This window comes from Homo sapiens, chromosome 2 (genome assembly GCF_000001405.40).
Source record: "Homo sapiens chromosome 2, GRCh38.p14 Primary Assembly".
In the NCBI taxonomy this organism is placed as follows: Eukaryota; Metazoa; Chordata; class Mammalia; order Primates; family Hominidae; genus Homo; species Homo sapiens.
Window position 1 is genome coordinate 211,129,342 of NC_000002.12, and position 19,972 is coordinate 211,149,313.

At 33.7% G+C, this 19,972-nt stretch overlaps 1 annotated feature.

Annotated features, from left to right (window-relative positions):
* Nucleotides 893-1,394: an enhancer, noted in NCBI's record as "NANOG hESC enhancer chr2:211994958-211995459 (GRCh37/hg19 assembly coordinates)". NCBI's record gives its function as "activates a minimal SCP1, AML or CMV promoter by ChIP-STARR-seq in primed H9 embryonic stem cells {active_cell/tissue: H9 hESC(primed)}" and the evidence as "EXISTENCE:reporter gene assay evidence [ECO:0000049][PMID:30033119]".

Below are 19,972 nucleotides of genomic sequence, written 5' to 3' on the forward strand. Positions count from 1 at the left end.
TAAATCTCTTTTTAAAAATATTTGTTCCAATCATTCATTTTTTTGCTCTGATTGAATCCATTTGTTTACTCATGGTTTCAGCTACTTCTGAACCCATTTGATGACTTTTGACATAAATGTATTAGTACACAAGTATAAGTACATTTCTTGTTGACTATCAAGAACATTTCTTTATTTTGATACAGTGAAATTAAGAGACAAGTTACAGAATTATACGGGATATAATTATAATATCTATATGTTATATAATATATATTTATAATTATAATTAATAAAATATAAATGGCTTACACTTCGGACTTTAGATTTTAGACTTTAAGGTTTATATAATATAGATTTATATTAAAATTATAATTATAATTCTATATAATATAGATCATAATATATTATAATCTATATTATATAATATCTGTATTATATACAATTACAGTATAGGAGTGTGCATTTTTCCTTTTTACAGATAATTTTGAAGGAAAGTAGTGATTTGAGGTTTGGGGGCCTGAATTTTCAAAATAAATGCAATAACTGCATTTTACTTTGAAATTATAGATCAAAACAATGATATCACTAGTTTAGGAGGATGTAGTTTTGATTTTCATTTTACTGTTTTTTATCTGTTCATCTGCTCTCGTCAACTGAGAAGCCATATAATAGGTTATGTTTTCTGATGACAGAGATTACTTCAGTTAAATTTTTCCTGCGGGCTAAGATAAATGGGTCATGTTTTGAATATTTATGAAAAATCTGTGCAGACAGTGGATATTTTAAGTGTATTTTCTTGTATTAAATTGTGATTTATAATGTCTCATTAATATGGAAAAGTGATCTGTTATTTCCATCTAACGTGTTTGTTTCTCTGGTGCTGCCCTGACTTGCTCTGTTTACAGTTTTTAGTACCCTCAGTGTGTGTACCTCTCTAACTTCAGGGCTTTCTTTGTAAAAGAAGGGTCAGAACTTGTCACAGAGTCACAAAACATGTCAGATTTCAGGCCATTTCTCTGAGCTTGTCTGGGTGCAAAGCGTGCACATTTGCATGGTGACCTTTGCAAACCCAAACAGAGAAGGTGATGTGAGGGTCATTTCCTAAGCCCAGCTAATGAACTGATTATCCCCAAATGCCTGGTAGTCTGCATAACAATGAAGAGTGGAAAGTTCACTTCAAATCCAGAGAGGCACAATAAATCTCTGAAGTAGAATTTTTAATAAACCGATTGTATATTAGCATCAGTATTTTAATTATTTGCTACTGAACCACCCAAAGCCAAGAGATCAAATTGTTTACTAGAAAGAGGTATTGTCTTGCTTTCCAATACACTTTAATTTTTAATTATTTTCCTGTCCCCGAAGTATTGTTCTTTAAAGAGTCCCTTTTTTTTTTTTTTTTTGGATGAAGGTGGGGTATGATTAACAAACATTTTCCAAAACATTTCTAGAAAGAAAATTTGCAGGCATTTTCAGTTAAGCTTTATTTTTTCTCTAGGGCTGATTGGTATATAAACAAATTAAGGATATTTTTATTATTATTCTCTCCCCATATGTATAATTTCAACTCAAGCATGTGGTATAATATTTCCAAATAGGTATCATTGTTATAATTAGTTACAATGGAAATGATGTTAACAATATTTCAATAGGTAAATCTTCCCTGTCAGAGCAATTTTTAAAAGAGGAGAAATGGCTTACACTTGGGATTTTAGATTTTAGACTTCAAGTTTTAAACTTGTGTATGCCTCTATGTTTGTTAAAGGTAATGTCTGAACCAGAGATACTAAATGTAATAGAGAGGACACCATTTTACATCCATGGCTACTTGATGTTGACGTTCACTGACTGATTAATGTTGAATAATGTTAACATTAACTGATTTTCAATTTGCTTTCCAGGCAAATTTTTTCCATCAGTTTCTCTATTAGCTACCTGTTTCATTCAACTACCAGTCAATCTGGCCTAGTTGTAGCATCATTGATAAAGATTTCATGTATTTGCTATCTGTGTTCCAAATCTTATTCTTTGAAAAATAAATAAATAAAAGGGTATAGCACTCATGGCTCCCTAGTATTACATTCATTTAGTATTTAAGCATATGGAGGAGATGACAATAGTCTTACAACATTGAGAAAATGGATTTATTCTCCTTTTAAAAACTTTGCTGATACCTAATGTGTATTTCCCTGAATCTCTTCTCTGTAGCATCTGGTCTATGTCCTCTTTCTCTGCCTGCATCTTGAATTTCAATGTTCAATGAAATTGTCTCCATGATACCTCTCTTTTTTTCCTGATTTGCATTGTCTTTGGGCATTCTCATCTACTCCTCTTTCTTCAACTGATATCACCCATATACATATCACAACCCTGTCTTTCAAGTGTTGACCAATGTTTTAAATTCTATTAGCTACTTCCAACTATCACAGGTATCCTAAATTCATGTGTCTAAAATTGGGTCCATTATGTTCTTTCTCAGAGCCTCTTCTCCTTTCATTCTCTTTTATTCTAAAGGAATAGTCAATACTTACCTAGTAAATTAAGTAGAAAATTGTCTCTACCTTTCTTCACCACTTCCCCAGGATCCTATAAATCATCAAGTATTGTTTATTCAACCCAAGAAATAGCACCTGAATTTGTATTCTGTTCTGCATTTAATAACCACTAAATTAATTTTCTCCCTCATTATTTCTAAGTATGTTATCTTAAGGACATCCTCTATAGTCTATCCTTTAAATCCATCCTTAATTGCTGTGAAACAGAAATAGATTTCTGTTTATTTCAGATTGCTTATATCACTTCTTTTTCCAAATTAAATACCATTGATAATTCACATTAAATCCTTGGCCAATGAGAAAAATTCCAAACTCCTTAGCTTGCTCAAACTATCTCACCATGCATTTCCAGACTCATTCCCTGTGACTTTCCCCACTCATCTATGCTGGTCGCCAAGACAATACAACTTTGACAAAGTACAGTTTCTGCATAAAATACTTCCCAAGCTGTGTTTCATGAGCAGAATGATCTTTTTCTCAGTGCTCCCATTGTCTTTTGGACAATATATAGTTCGGTACACTTGCCTAAATTAAAGATTTGGAACTCTAAATTTCCCATTAAACATAGCTCTAACAGCACACCACAAGTTATGATGTTACATTTTTATTATCTTTTAATAAAAATATTTTTAATCTTCCATTGTGATTACTTTTGACACAAGAATTATGTAGAAGTGTGGAAATATACTACATACCTGGTAAATACTTAATAATTTTCAGTTATATATTTTAGAATTAATTTCTAGCTTAGCTCTCCTGGGGTCAGGGAAAGTACTTTGAATAACTTAAGTTTTTGTGGTCAAATATTTTAATAGACGATTCTGGTGAATGTTTTATGTGATCTTGGAAAGAGTGCATATTCCTATGATGTTAGTCATAGCATTTTAGATATTTCATACAGGTCAAGTTAATTGTGCTATTCATGTCTTCATATCCTTACTGATTGTGTTATCTGTTTATCTCATCAGTCACAGGAAGAGGTGTATTGAAATGACATTCTATGTTTGTGTATATCAATTTGTCATTTTAGATCTATCAGTTTTTCCTTTATACATTTTGAGGCTAGATTAAATAGAACGTACAAATATATTTCTTAGAAGTGTTTCTTGCCTTAAAATTGATGTGTTTTTATATTAGTACAGCACCTCCAGATTGCTTTTAGTCTGTGTTTACAAGGTATATCTTTTTCTAGTGTTTTACATTCAAGATTTCTATGTCCTTACATTAAGGGATGTCTATTTGGAAGTAGCGTATAGCTGAATACAGCCTGAAAACCTTTGTATCTTAATTGAAATGTTCATACAGTGTACATTTATTATAACCATGGATGTATCTGTTTATATCTACCATCTCACTATTTACTGTCCATTGTTTCTGCTTGTTCTAGTCTTCTTTTTCTTTACTTTTGAGCCTTCTTTTGGATTAATCAATTATTTTCAGTTATCACAAATGTTTCCTCTATTAGCTTGTATTTACATTTTTTACTCTTCCTTTAACTATTAACCTAGAAATCACAGCATATTTTTTCCTTATAGTAGAGCATGTTTACAATTTTCCAGATAATGTTAGACTCTTAGTAGAGTTCCATCTTTTTAAATTCTTCTTCCTTTGATATCATTTTTGTCATACATTTAATTCTACCTATAATTTAATCCCATAAGATACTATTTTGTTTTTATGGTCAAGATTTATTTAAATGTATCTACATATTAGTACTTTCTATGGCTTTTTATTCTTTCTCCATTTCTTACTTTTTCTATATATTCTATTTTCCTTTTAAAGGACTACATTCCCCTTGGTATTGTTTATATTGGAAATCTCCTACTTCAAATTATCTCATTTTTCTGAAAATGTCTGTATTTTGCTTTTTGGCTACTGTGATGGTTAATACTGAGTGTCAACTTGATTGGATTGAAATATGCAAAGTATGAATCCTGGGTGTGTCTGTGAGAGTATTGCCAAAGGAGATTAACATTTGAGTCAGTGGGTTGGGGAAGGCAGACTCACCCTTAATCTGGATGGGCACCATCTAATCAACTGCCAGCAAATATGAAGCAGGCAGAAAAAAATGTGAAGAGGCTAGGCTGGCTTAGCCTCCCAGTCTGCATTTCTTTTTTCCCCCATGCTGGATGCTTCCTGCCCTCAAACATGGGACTCCAAATTCTTCAGCTTTGGTACTTTGAATGGCTTCCTTGTTCCTCAGCTTGCAGCTGGCCGACTGTGTGATGTTGTGATGTTGTGAGTTAATGCTACTTAATAAACTCCCCTTTATATTTATGTTTATATCCCCTTTATACATTATATTTATATAAAGGGGAGTTTACATATAAAGGGTTCCCTAGAGGGACAGAACTAATAAGATATATATAATATATATTAATATATATAATATGTCATATATAACATACATATTATATATTATGTTATATATAAAATAAGATATGTATATCTTTTTTTATATATAAAATAAGACATATATAACTTATATATTATAAAATAAGATATATCTTATATATTATATATAAAACAAGATATATATAAGATAAGATATAAAGATAAAAATAAGATATAAATAAAATATATAAAAAAGATAAATAAAAAAGATATAAGATATAAGATATATATCATATATCTTATATATAATTATATATAATATAAAAATTATACATATTATTTTATTATATATTATATACATAATATATATATTTCATATATAATATATATTATATATAATATAAAATATATATTATGTATAATTATATATAAAATATATTATATAATTATATATAACATAAAATATATATAATATATAATTATATATAATATAAAATATATATATAATATAAAATATATATTATATGTAATTATATATAATATAAAATATATATATAATATAAAATATATATTATATATAATTATAATATAAAATATATATTATATAGTATATATTATATAAAATATATATTATATATAATTATATATTATATAAAATATATATTATATATAATTATATAATATAAAATATATATTGTATATAATTATATATAATATAAAATATATATAATATATGAAATAAGATATATACTATATATAATATATATAATTTACATATAAGATATATATCATATATCTTATATATAAAATAGGATATATATCTTATATGTTATATATAAAATAAGATATGTATATCTTTTGTTACATATACAATAAGACATATATATAACGTATATAAAATAAGATATATATTATATAAATATATATATCATATATCTTACATATTACATGTAAGATATATATCATATATCTTACATATTATATGTAAGATATATGTCATATATCTTACATATTATATGTAAGATATATGTCATATATCTTACATATTATAAGATATATATCATATATCTTATATATTATATATAAAATAAGATATATATCATACATGATATATATATCTTATATATATGATATATCATGTATGATATATATCTTATATATATAATATAATATCATATATATTATATATAATATAATATCATATATATTATATATAATATAATATCATATATATTATATATAATATAATATCATATATATTATATATAATATATTATTATATATAAGAAATATGATATATAATATATATATTTATTATATATAAATATATATTTAATATATATTTATATATAATAAGATATATATTATATATATAATATATATATGACCCACAACCCACACTGCCATCAGCCTTTCCACCTTTGTCTGAGGAGATAAACCCTCGCTGCCTGAGGCAACAGTTATGACCTCCCTGAGGCAGTTGCCAGGCAAGGTAATGTTGATTCTCCTCAGGAGCCACCCACAACACCCCTATTTGCTTCTAGACCTGTAACTATACTAAAGTCCCAGCGGGCCCCTAGAGGCAAGTTTCAGAGTGTGACCCATGAGAAGGTGAGCTACATTCAAAAAGAACTACTTGAATGTTCTAATTTATAGAAACAGAAATCTGGAGAACAGGCATGGGAATTGATATTAAGGATGTGAGATAATGGTGGAAGAAACATAAAGTTGGGTCAGGCTGAATTTATTGATTTAGACCCACTAAGTAGGGACTCTGCATTTAATGTTGCAGCTGGGGAAATTTAAAAAGTTTCTAATAATGTATTTGTTTGGTTAGCTGAAATATAGATTAAAAGATGGCCCACTGTGACCAACCTGGAAATGTCTGATCTCCCTTGGGTTAATGTAGAAAAAAGGATCCAAAACCTTAAAGAGATAGGGATACTGAAGTAGATTAGTCACTTTGGACCGACTCATCCCAGCTGCGCAGGTCTAGAGGCTATACCCTTGACCAATGCTTTGTAAAATAGATTTGTGAGGGTAGCACCTGTATTTTTTTAGAACTCTATAATTGCTCTTTTCTGTATGTCAGCTCTAACAGTGGAAACCACAGTCACTCAACTACAACATTTAAATACAGTGGGAATAATTGGATTCCGAGGTGGCAGGGGCCAAGTGGCAGCAGTCAACTGTCAAAAGCGAGGTAGACGTAGCTACCATAATGGACAGCAGAGGCAAAGCGGCAATCAGAATAGTCTGACTCATGTAGAACTCTGGCATTGGTTAAATAATCACAGTGTTCCTAGAAGTCATACTGATAGGAAGCCTACTGCATTCCTACTTTATTTTATAAAGCAGAAAACTTCTGGGTCTAATGGACAAAAGACAAATTTGAATTGTAAGAACAAAGAATCATGGCCCCTTAATCAATTTCCAGAATTGAGCCAGTTTACAGACCCAGAACCCCTTGAATGAAGGGGAGGCTGGGTCCCCTAGAGGAAGGACCCCAGTACACTACTAACAATTTATGCTGTTAATCTTTCTCCCATCCTTCCCCAATGAGATATCCAGCCTTTTACCAGGGTAACTGTGCATTGGGGAAAGAGAAATGATCAGACATTTCAAGCACTAGTGGACACTGGCCTTGAGCTGACATTGATTCCCGGGGACCCAAAACATCATTGTGATCCTCCAGTTAAAGTAGGGGCTTATGGACATCAGGTAATTAATGGAGTTTTAGCTCAGATTCAAATTACAGTAGGTCCAGTGGGTCCCTGGACTCACCCTGTGGTCATTTTCACAGTGCCTAAATGCATAATTGACATAGACATACTTAGGTGGCAGAACTCCCACACTGGCTCCCTGACTGGTAGGATGAAGGCTATTATGGTGGGAAGGGCCAAATGGAAGCCGTTAGAGCTGCCTCTGCCTAGAAAAACAGTAAACCAGAAACCATATCACACCCCTGTAGGGACTGCAGAAATTAGTGCCACCATGAAGGACTTGAAAGATGCAGGGGTGGTGATTCCAACCACAACCCTGTTCAACTCTCCTATTTGGTCTGTGCAGAAGACAGGTGGATCTTGGAGAATGACAGTGGATTATTGTATGCTTAACCAAGTTGTGTCTGCAGTTGAAGCTATTGTACTAGATGTGGTTTCATTGCTTGAGCAAATTAACACATCTCCTGGTACCTGGTAATGCAGCCATTGACTTGGCAAATGCCTTTTTCTCCATTCCTGTCCATAAGGCCCACAGAAGCAGCAATATATTTTTACTGTCCTACCTTAGGGGTATATCAGCTTTCTGGCTTTGTGTCATATTCTTATTTGGAGAGTCTTTGATTGCTTTTCACTTCCATAAGGTATCACACTGGTCCATTACATTAATGACATTATGCTGATTGGATCCAGTGAGCAAGAAGTAGCAAACACATTGGACTTATTGGTGAGACATTAGCATGCCAGAGGATGGGAAATAAATTTGACTAAAATTCAGGGATCTTCTATCTCAGTAAAATTTCTAGGGGTTTAGTGATGTGGGGCCTGTCAAGATATTCCTTCCAAGGTGAAGGATAAGTTGTTGCATTTGGCCCATCCTACAACCAAGAAAGAGGCACAACATCTAGTAGGCCTATTTGGATTTTGGAGGCAACATATTCCTTATTTGGGTGTGTTACTCTGGCCCATTTATCGAGTGACCTGAAAGGCTCCCAGTTTTGAATCAGGTCAAGAACAAGATAAGTCTCTGAAAGGCCCAGGCTGCTGTGCAAGCTGCTCTGACACTTGGGCCATATGACCCAGCAGATCCAATGGTCCTTCAGGTGTCAGTGGCAGACAGGGATGCTGTTGGGAGCCTTTGGTGGGCCTGCATACGTGAATCACAGCAGAGGCATCTAGGATTTTGGAGCAAGGCCCTGCCATCTTCTGCAGATAACTACTTTCCTTTTGAGAGACAGCTCTTGGCCTGTTACTGAGCTTTGGTGAAAACTGAATGTTTGACTATAGATCATCAAGTCACCATGCAACCTGAACTGGGTGCTTTCTGACCCATCTAGCCATAGAGTGGGTCATGCACAGCAGCATTCCATCATCAAATGGAAGTGGTACATACATGATCGGGCTCAAGCAGGTCCTAAAGGCACAAGTAAGTTACATGAGGAAGTGAGGCAAATGCCCATGGTCTCCACTCCTGCTACCCTGCTTTCTCTCCTGCAGCCTGCACCAATGGCCTCATGGGGAGTTTCCTATGATCAGTGGACAGAGGAAGAGAAGACTACGGCCTGGTTCACAGACGGTTCTTCACGATATGCTAGCACCACCCGAAACTGGACAGCTGCAGCACTACAGTCCCTTTCTAGGATATCCCTGAAGGACAGCTGTGAAGGGAAATCTTCCCAGTGGGCAGAGCTTCCAGCAGTGCACCTGGTTGTGCACTTTGCACGGAAGGAGAAATGGCCAGATGTGTGACTATATACTGATTCATGAACTGTAGCCAATGGTTTGGCTGGATTGTCAGGAACTTGGAAGAGGCATGATCGGAAAATTGGTGACAAAGAAATTTGGGAAAGAGGTATGTGGATGGACCTGTTTGGTCAAAAACTGTGAAGATATTTGTATCCCCATGAGTGCTCACCAATGAGTGACCTCAGCAGACGAGGATATTAATAATCGAGTGGATAGGATGATCTGTTCTGTGGACACCACTCAGCCTCATTCCCCAGCCACCCGTGTCATGGAGGCAAGGATGGAGGTTATGCATGGGCTCAGCAACATGGACTTTCACTCACCAAGGTTGACCTGGCTATGGCCACTGCTGAGTGCCCAATTTGCCAGCAGCAGAGACCAACACTGAGCCCTCGATATGGCACCATTCCTCAGGGTGATCAGCCAGCTACCTGGTGGCAGGTTGATTATATGGGACCTCTTCCATCATGGAAAGGGCAGAGGTTTGTCCTCACTGGAATAGACACTTATTCTGAATATGGGTTGTTTGCCTGTCTTGTACTCTATGCTTCTGCTAAGACTACCATCCATGGACTCTCGAAATGCCTTATCCACCATCACCGTATTCTACAAAGCTTTGCTGCTGTCCAAGGCACTTACTTTATGGCTAAAGAAGTGCAGCAGTAGGCTCATGCTCATGGAATTCACTGGTCTTACCATGTTCCCCATTGTCCTGAAGCAGCTGGATTGACAGAATGGCGAAATGGCCTTTTGAAGTCACAATTGCAATGCCAACTAGGTAATAATACTTTTCAGGGCTGGGTCAAAGTTCTTCAAAAGGCTGTGTATTCTCAGAATCAGTGTCCAATATATGGTACTGTTTCTCCCATAGCCAGGATTCATGGGTCCAGTAATCAAGGGGTGAAAGTGGAAGTGGCAGCAATCATCATCACCCCTAGTGATTCACTAGCAAAATTTTTGCTTCCTGTTTCTGCGACATTACATTCTGCTGGCCTAGAAGTCTTAGTTCCAGAGGGAGGAACACTGCCACTAGGAGACACAACAATGTTTACATTAAACTGAAAGTTAAGATTGCCACCTGGACACTTTGGATTCTTCCCACCTTTAAGACAACAGACTAAGAAGGGAGTTACAGTGTTGGCTGGGATGATTGACCCAGACTGTCAAGACGAAATTAGTCTACTACTCCACAACAGAGGTAAGAAAGAGTAGGCATGGAATACAGGAGATCTATTAGGGTGTCGCTTAGTATTACCATGCCATGTGATTAAGGTCAGTGGAAAACTATAACAGCTCAATCCAGGCAGGACTACAAACGACCCAGACCCTTCAGGAATGAAGGTTTGGGTCACTCCACCAGGAAAAAAACCACGATCTGCTGAGGTACTTGCTGAAGGCAAAGGGAATACAGAATGGGTAGCAGAAGAAGGTAGTCATCAATACAAGCTATGAGAACATGACCAGCTGCAGAAACAAGGACTATAATTGTCATGAGTATTTCCTCCTCCTTTTGTTAAAAACATGATTGTGCATGTATACTCTTATACTAAGAAAATATCTTCATTTTATTTCCTTTAACTGTTGTTAGCTTTATGTAGTAGCATTTGGGTTGGGGACTCGTGCATTTCTAGTTGTACGAAGGATAGTTGTATTATGTTATTTGTAATTATGACCTTATTACTGTCTTTATTTGAAGATTATATGTGATCTCAGGAGATGTGTATGGGTTCAAGTTGACAAGGGATGGACTTATGATGGTTAATACGGAGTGTCAACTTGATTGGATTGAAGGATGCAAAGTATTGATCCTAGGTATGTCTGTGAGGGTGTTCCCAAAGGAGACTAACATTTGAGTCAGTGGGCTGGGGAAGGTAGACTCACCCTCAATCTGAGTGGGTACCATCTAATCAGCTGCCAGCAAGTATAATGTAGGGAAAAAAACATGAAAAGGTCAGACTGGCCCAGCCTCCTAGCCTACCTCTTTCTCCCATGCTGGATGCTTCCTGCCCTCAAACATCAGACTGCAAGTTCTTCAGCTTTGGGACTTGGACTGGCTTCCTTGCTCCTCAGCTTGCAGAAGGCCTATTATGGGACCTTGCGATTATGTGAATTAATACTACGTAAGAAACTCATATATACGTATGAGTATTAAGTGTGTGTATATATAAATTATAAATTTATATATACAAATTATAAAAACTCATACATATATGAGTTTCTTATGTACATATATACACACACTTACTAAACTCATATATATAGATAGATAGATAGATAGATAGATAGATAGATAGATAGATATCTCCTATTAGCTCTGTCTCTCTAGAGAACCCTGAGTAATAAAGCTACCTTCAATAAGCTTCTTTGCTCTATGGGGATATTTGTCTATCAAGTCCTGGATGCCTGATAAGCCCTCTAGCTTTTCTAGTTATTCTAGGTAGAAGCATTAATTTAATATGTTACAGTGTCATAATCAGAAGCTAAAGCCTACACATTGGATTTTAGTTGGTGCTTTCCCTGTACTTACTGAAATAACCATATAGTTTTATATGTTTATTTTTTAAATCTGGTAAATTATGTTATGAAATTATAATTTCAACACATGCTTGTATTCCTAAATAACACCAAATTTAAATTATATATGAATAGATAAATATACATTGTAATATATTTTTATCAGTATATATAATAATATTTTTGCTGCATTGGGCTTACAATATTGCATATAATTTTGTCTTCTGAAAGAGTTTAGATAAAGACTGAAATTATCTTTTCTCATCATTTGTTAAAGCTATATAACCTGGTATGAATTTTGGGGGATAGATTTTAAATGATGGATGTAATTTCTTTTGATGGTTATAGATTTATATAGGTTTTTAAATTCTTTTTGAGCAATAAGTGATATTTTTCTAAGAAATTACCCATTTTGTCTATGTTTCAAATTTATTCTCATAAATTTATTCTTTGATATTATTTTGCTTTTATCTTTTATTTAATAGACTTACTATTAGAGTTCACTCTTTTTTATTGTTACTATTATTATACGGTTAATTTTTCTTGCTGATTTGTTTGGGTTCCTTGAAGATTCTGGATATTAGTCATTTAGTTCGAATGCGTAGTTTGCAAAAAATTTCTCCCACTCTGAGGGTTATTTACTTTGCTGATTTTTTTTCTGTGCAGAAGTATTTTAGTTTAATTAGATCGCATTTATTTGTTTTTATTTTTGTTACATTTGCTTTTGGGTTCTTAGTCATGGATTCTTTGTCTGGAAGCCAAATGTCTAGAAGTTTTTCCCATAGTATCTTCTAGAATTTTTATGGTTTCAGGTCTTAGATTTACATCTTTGATCCATCTTGAGTTGATTTTTGTATAAGGTGAGAGAAGAGGATCCAGTTTCATTCTTCTACATGTGGCTTGCCAGTTTTCCCAGCACTATTTATTGAATTGGGTGTCCTTTCCCCACTTTGTGTTTTTGTTTGCTTTGTTGAAGATCAGTTGGCTGTAAGTATTTGGCTTTATTTCTGGGTTCTCAATTCTGTTCCATTTGTCTATGTGCCTATTTTTATATTATACCAGTACTATGCTGTTTTGGTGACTATAGCCTTGTAGTATAGTTCGAAGTAGGATAATGGGATGCCTCCAGATTTGTTCTTTTTGCTTAGTCTTGCTTTGGCTATGAAGGCTCTTTTCTCATTCCATAAGAATTTTAGGATTTTTTTTTCTAGTTCTGTGAAGAATGATGATGGTATTTTGATGGGAACTGCATTGACTCTGTAGATTGCTTTTGGCAGTATGGTCATTTTCACAATATCGATTCTACCCATTCATGAGCATGAGATGTTTCCATTTCTGTCATCTATGATTTCTTTCAGCAGTGTTTTGTAGTTTTCCTTGTAAAGATATTTCACTTTCTCCATTAACTATATTCCTAAGTGTTTTATTTTTGTTGCAGCTGTTGTAAAAGGGATTGAGTTCTTGATTTGATTCTCAGCTTGGTTGTTGTTGTCGTGTAACAGTGCAACTGATTTGCGTAGATTGATTTTGATTCCTGAGACTTTACTGAATTTGTTTATCAGGTCTAGGAGCTTTTTGGATGAGTCTTTAGGGTTTTCTAGGTATACAATCATATAATTGGCAAATGGTGACAGTTTAACTTTCTTTTTTGGATGCCCTTTATTTCTTTATCTTGTCTGATTGTTCTGGTTAGTACTTCCAGTAATATATTGAATAGATGTGGTGGAAGTGGGCATGCTTGTCTGGTTCCAGTTCTCAGAGGGAATGCTTTCAACCTTTCCCCATTCAGTATGATGTTGGCTGTGGGTTTGTCATAGATGGCTTTTATTACTTTGAGGTGTTTCCTTTCTGTGCCAATTTTTGGAGGGTTTTTATCATAAAGGGATGCTGGATTTTGTCAAATGCTTTTTGTTGTCTTTTGAGATGATCATATAATTTTTGTTTTTAATTCTGTTTATGTGATGCATGACATTTATTGACTTGCGTATGTTAAAAGATCCCTGCTATGAAGCCCACTTGATCATGATGTATTATCTTTTTTGATATGCTGTTAGATTCAGTTAGCTAGTATTTTGTTGAGGATTTTTGCATCTATGTTCATCAGGGATTTTGGTCTCTAGTTTTCTTTTGTAGTTATGTCCTTTCCGAATTTTGGTATTAGGTTATACTGGTTTCATAGAAAGAGGAAGGATTCCCTCTTTCTCTGTCTTTTGGAATAGTTTCAGTAGGATTGGTAACCGTTCTCCTTTGACTGTCTGATAGAATTCAGCTGTAAATACTCCTGGTCCTGGACTTTCTTTTGTTGGCATTTTTTTTTATTACTGATTCAATCTTGCTGCTTGTTATTGACCAATAACAAGAGTTTCTTTTTCTTCCTCATTTAATCTAGTAAGGTTGTATATTTCCAGTAATTTTCCATCTCTTCTAGATGTTCTAATTTGTGTGCATAAAGGTGTTCATAGTAGCCTTGAATGATCTTTTGTATTTTTGTGGTATTGGTTGTAATATCCCCCATTTTATTTCTAATTCAGCTTATTTGGATCTTCTCTCTTCTTTTCTTGGTTAAGCTTGCTAATGGTCTATCAAGTTTGTTTATCTTTTCAAATAACTAGTTTTGTGTTTCATTTATCTTTTGTATTTTTTGTTTCAATTTTATTTAGTTCTGCTCTCATCTCTGTTATTTCTTTTCGTCTGCTGGGCTTGGGTTTAGTTTTTTCTTGTTTCTCTGGTTCCTTCAGGTCTTATACTTCTTTTCTATCTCTTTGTCCCTCTATGGTAAATTCTGGGTAATTTCTTCAGATATCTTCCAGCTCACTAATTATGTATAATTTCTTGAGTAATCTATCCAGTAATTTAAAAATTTTGTGTATTTATTTACTTCTATAAAGTTATCTGCCTTTTTCCACATATGCCTTGTCTTTTTTAATTGTATCCTAATTTTTGCTTATATTCCCCATTCTGTATTATATTTAAAAATATATTTTATACATACTCATTTTTAAATCTGTATTTAAAAGTTCTTATGAGAATAATCCTCCTGTTGTTTTTGCTGACTCATATTTTGGCCAGATAAGTATGCTGACTCATATTTATTTCAACATAGGAAAACATGGTGTGTGATTTGTTAACTCTTGGTTGGCTTTATTTGTGAGAATGCTACAAATTTTAATTTGTGGATACTTTCATTTAGAAACAATTTGGGATATTTATTAACCAGAGATAACTTTACTTCTAAATTGAGGTTTTCATAGATTAATCAGCTGTAAATCTGAATTCCACTATTACATGGAGAAAGTGCTATGGCTTAAAAATTCTGATAGAATACTTTCCTTATCTAGAGCCAAGGCTTTTGATAGTGACAGGAGGCAGACACATCCTAGGCAGACAGGGACAGGTCCCTGGTAAAACCCCACCATCAAGCTGAAGACAGTTGAAAGCCTAGCTTCAAGTCCTGGGGTAAATCCATGGACTGGATTGAGAAACTCTCTTCCTGTTTGGCACACTTTCCTCTGATTGATACCCACCCTTCACCTATTTTACATATGCCTACTCTTCCCTAATTGTTTTGTTACACTGTCATGCCAACCTTTGAGTGGAGCCTTTGTTTTAGCCTTTTTTTTTTTTTTTGCATACTGACAAACCAAGCAGCACACACCCCCTATTCTGAGCACATAAAAGCCCCAGACCCAGCCACACTGGGGGGAGAAACCAATTGACTTCAGGTGTTAGACAACCCTCATGTCTCCTCTCCACTGAGAGTTCAATAAAATTCTTCTCTGCTCTCCTCATCCTTCAATTGTCAGTCTATCCTCATTCTTCTTGGATGTGGAACTAGAACTCAAAAGGCCCACCGAACATGAGTACAAAGTAAGTAGTAACACTGTGGCCCCCTGATCTCTCCTAGTGGAGGGCTGCTGCCCTATGTGATGGGAAGCAGTGGCAGAACTGAGCCAGCCCCAGAGCTGTGGCCCAGAGTAGGGTAACGGGGCTGACAGAGCTGTTAACACACTGTCATCTGTCTGGGCAGAGGCATTGCCAGACAGAGGTCTCTGGCTGGCAAAGTGACTGAGAAAAATCCTTCGTCATTTTGATAGTAAGTTTTCTGGTCACCTCTTGGAAAACAAGTAATTTTAATTTTTTTTAACTTTTTACTAAAAGGAGCTCTTTAACAGATTCAGATATATTCAATGGTCTAGGTTTCTACTTTGCAACGAATACAGATAGTTCTCATACCCCTGGCCTACACCCACATGTTACTCACATCTGCAAATGTCCTCAAGGCAGATGCCTGGAAAACTAATCCTAATCACTGTTGTTTCCAGTTACCTTTTCATGTATTTGTTTCTATATTATTAAAATATCAGATATAGATTTCAAAAAATATTTGGAAGGCCTGATGTAGTATTTCTAGGTTCTTATTATAAGATAATTTTCCAGGATATCTAACCTACCACATTATAAAAATAAATTGATTTCTAACATTCCACATTGATATTTTTATCTGTTTACAGATCTGTCTTTTCTAGAGAGATAATAAATTTCCTGAAGGCAGAAAGGGTATGGTATTCATTGTTATAAATCCTGAACCTAGCATGTGTCTGATTAATATATAGTAAATGCTATATGATTGTTGAATTAATGTCTCCTTTCTTAAGATAGATATCTTTTTAGTCTTATGTTATAAATTAAGTCATAATATATTAAGAATGAAAGTTTATATAGTTATGTTCTAATGATTGATGTCACTATTTTTATCTTTCTAACAGCTGTTAATCAACATAGATTTATTCTTCTATCATTTCATGTTAAAATCATACTTTTTAAATATCAGTGATTATATCTTACATATCGTAAATATTTTTATCAATCTCAATAAAACACATGAGTAATTCTATGTGTCAAGACTAAAAGCAAATCAATAGTACAAATTTAATCATTAATTTATTCTCAGTTATTTCAATATTCCAGTTTCTTTGAAAGAAAAAATTATCTATGGAGCATTTATCTCAGTACCTTGCCACTGTAATTAAACATACATTTAAAAAATATTTCTTAATAATAGAAAAAAATGGGCTAATCTTCCACATATAAAAGGAAGAATTATAATGGAAATATAAAGAACATTTAATAAATAGGATAATTTTTATAGTCATAATGGAACATTTACAAAGGAAAGAAAGCTAAGTGTAGGGAATGGACTACATGTCATTATTAGTGAGGTTCTTTTTTTAAAGTCTATTCCTTTGCATGGTTTTGGACATTTTTCTAATTTTTTTATTTATCTTATTTATGAAATTGGGAAGATCTTTCTTGATGGAGAAAGATGCAAAAGACAATAAATAGAATTATTATTAAACAAAATACTGAGGTTATACCAATGCCTACTGGAATACAGTATAACTAATTTTAGATTTAACTCCCCTCTAAATTCCACAAATTTGGGCAGATTTTTACTATATCTCAAAGTTCTCTTTTTGTTGTGTAATTTCAAGTTATGCTACATCTATTGTCATGATAGACTCACTGAGATTATTGGTTCTCTCTAATTATAAAGTCCCCTTAGAGGGGAAAACAGAAATTTAGGTGAATTATCAGTGTCTGAAGTGGTGGGTACAACAATAATACAAAATGACATGCTCAGGACTGTTGATTCATTTCAAAGAATGTTTGGCATTTTTTCTCTGCAATTGAAATTTGAAAGTAATTAATCACTTAGGCTAGAAATAGAGATTCCAATTATTCAAAAATCCTTATTGAGCACATGCTATGTTCTTGGTCCATGCCATAAGAAACAGACCATAACAAACAGCTTCCACTCAAATGTACAAATAAACAAACAATTCTATTTTGTCATTGGAACCCTGGCATATATAAATAGGCATATTTGGTAGGCCCAAAGAAAGTGAATTATGAATGGAAATAGTCCTATGAGAAGAAATTGACCATATATCAAAAGTGGAACACAAGGTCTGTTATAATGAGTTAAATTGATGCAGAGAATAAAATATTTCAGTGAAAGTACTGGATCTGGGTAAGGACTGACTTTTATCAGGCAAAATCCTTTGTGATTTGGAAAATAAAATAGCATGTGGCACCTGAAAGAAAAGGAGCTGTCTTACTAAAGTTCAAAATGTTTTAGGAGTCTGAATCCCTCCTCACATCAGTAGCCGTGAATAACAAATATACGGGAGGAAGTCATTCATTTTCTTCCCAAGATACTGCCAAACTTATGTATCACTTTAAGAATTGAAAACATCGGTACCTGTAGTAATAGTTCCTTAAATAAAACTAAAGCTAGTGGAAGTAATGATGGTGGTTCTGAGTCAGGTCATCAGCAAATGGCAGCAAGTGTTGATTTGTATATGCAAATAAGATATCTTTTCCAGGAACATTGAAAAACCTAGAGCAGACAATGAAGTTGATAATAAACAATTTGTTGCTATGCATTTAAAGCCTAGGAACAATGATAATGTGGACATTGAGTTATAAGAGTCTTCATATTTACCCAAATTCTGTTAAGGCTGGATACATTTGAATTGCATATATGACCTGCCTGATTTTCATCTCACTCCTGATAACAAACATCTATTGCACACAATAGTTGGTTATAAAATAATACTTTGCATACAGCACCAAAGTGTTCCTATAACTATATTAAAAGAGCTGAATCAAAATACTCTCTATGTAAGGATCTTGTAGTGATATACTCAGCCTTGGCATCCATAAGAAGATACTTCATAGGAAACATGATATTGAGCAATCTTTTGAAAAATATGAGCATTCTTACTACTTCCTTTTATCCAGGAAGAGGTCAGGTGTTATTAAAGAGACAGTATACTGTGCAAGATATATATATATATGTGTGTGTGTGTGTGTGTGTGTGTGTGTGTGTGTGTGACAGTATGCTATGCAAGATATATATAAATATATAAAATGGGTTAAGACTATGTTGGCATATTACTTTAGAATAAAAGCTGAAGAGGAAACAATTTATGGTAAACCCAATCACATATACAAATTAATGAACATATTAAACACCAATTTTGATAAACATGGTTTTCTCATAATTGTTTGACATATAATTCAGTGATACTGGTGTTTGTTTGTTTTTTGATGGTTTCCTAAATAAATTAAAAAATGAGACTCCTACACTCCCCCATTTGCCACATAGAGTAGGATACTATCTTACAAATAAAGGTCTGCAAAAATTGACAATGGTGTGCAAATCCTCATTTAGCTATTGTATCCATGAATGTTAATTAAAGATTCTCTTAGAAAGAAGTTCAAGATTAGAATAGTATCATCTTTTCAAATTAAATTTTTCAAATATAAAAAGACAAAATCATATAAATAGCCATAAAGGAAAAATATTTACTCTTGGTCTAGTCTAGCATTCCATACCCTGGCACTATTGACATTTATGTCTAGATGCCATTTTCTTGTTGAAGGGCTAGCTACCCTTTGCATTCTAATATGTTTTGCAGCATCAATGGCCTCAACCAACTAAATGCCAGTAGCATTCTTTCCCGATTTGTGATCAACAAAACTGTCTCTAGACATTGTGAAATGTCCCAAGGGCAATATTGCTTCTAATTAAGAGCCCTTATTTAGTTTTACCTTTCCCACCCACCAATTTACAGTCCCCTCAAAAAATTACCTTTATTAATTCTGAGTATGCTTCTAGAGTTTCTTCATGTAAAAATCTTTTTTTTTTAACATGTTCTCATCCTTGTTTTGTCATTTAAAGACTTCTGGCACATTTTACAAATTTAGGGGATTATCATAATTTTTAATCTTTTAATGAACACTTGGATTGCTTCAAATTCTTTTGTTATAAATGTCTTCAAATGGACAAATTTATACATCCATCATTTATATGTATACAAGTAATAGTAAAATAAATTCACGGAAGTAGTATATATATATATTTTTTTTACACTGTCATCAACATTATAATTTCACTAAAAATAGTATTTGTATGTTAGTTGTAATTCTTGTTTTCCATTTTGCTTTGCTTGATTGGCAGGATAAAAAGGCATAAGACATTGAACTACGCTACTGTCATATTCAATACTATAGTTTCTTTTACAAAATTTAAACTTGGTGGGCCAGGCGTGGTGG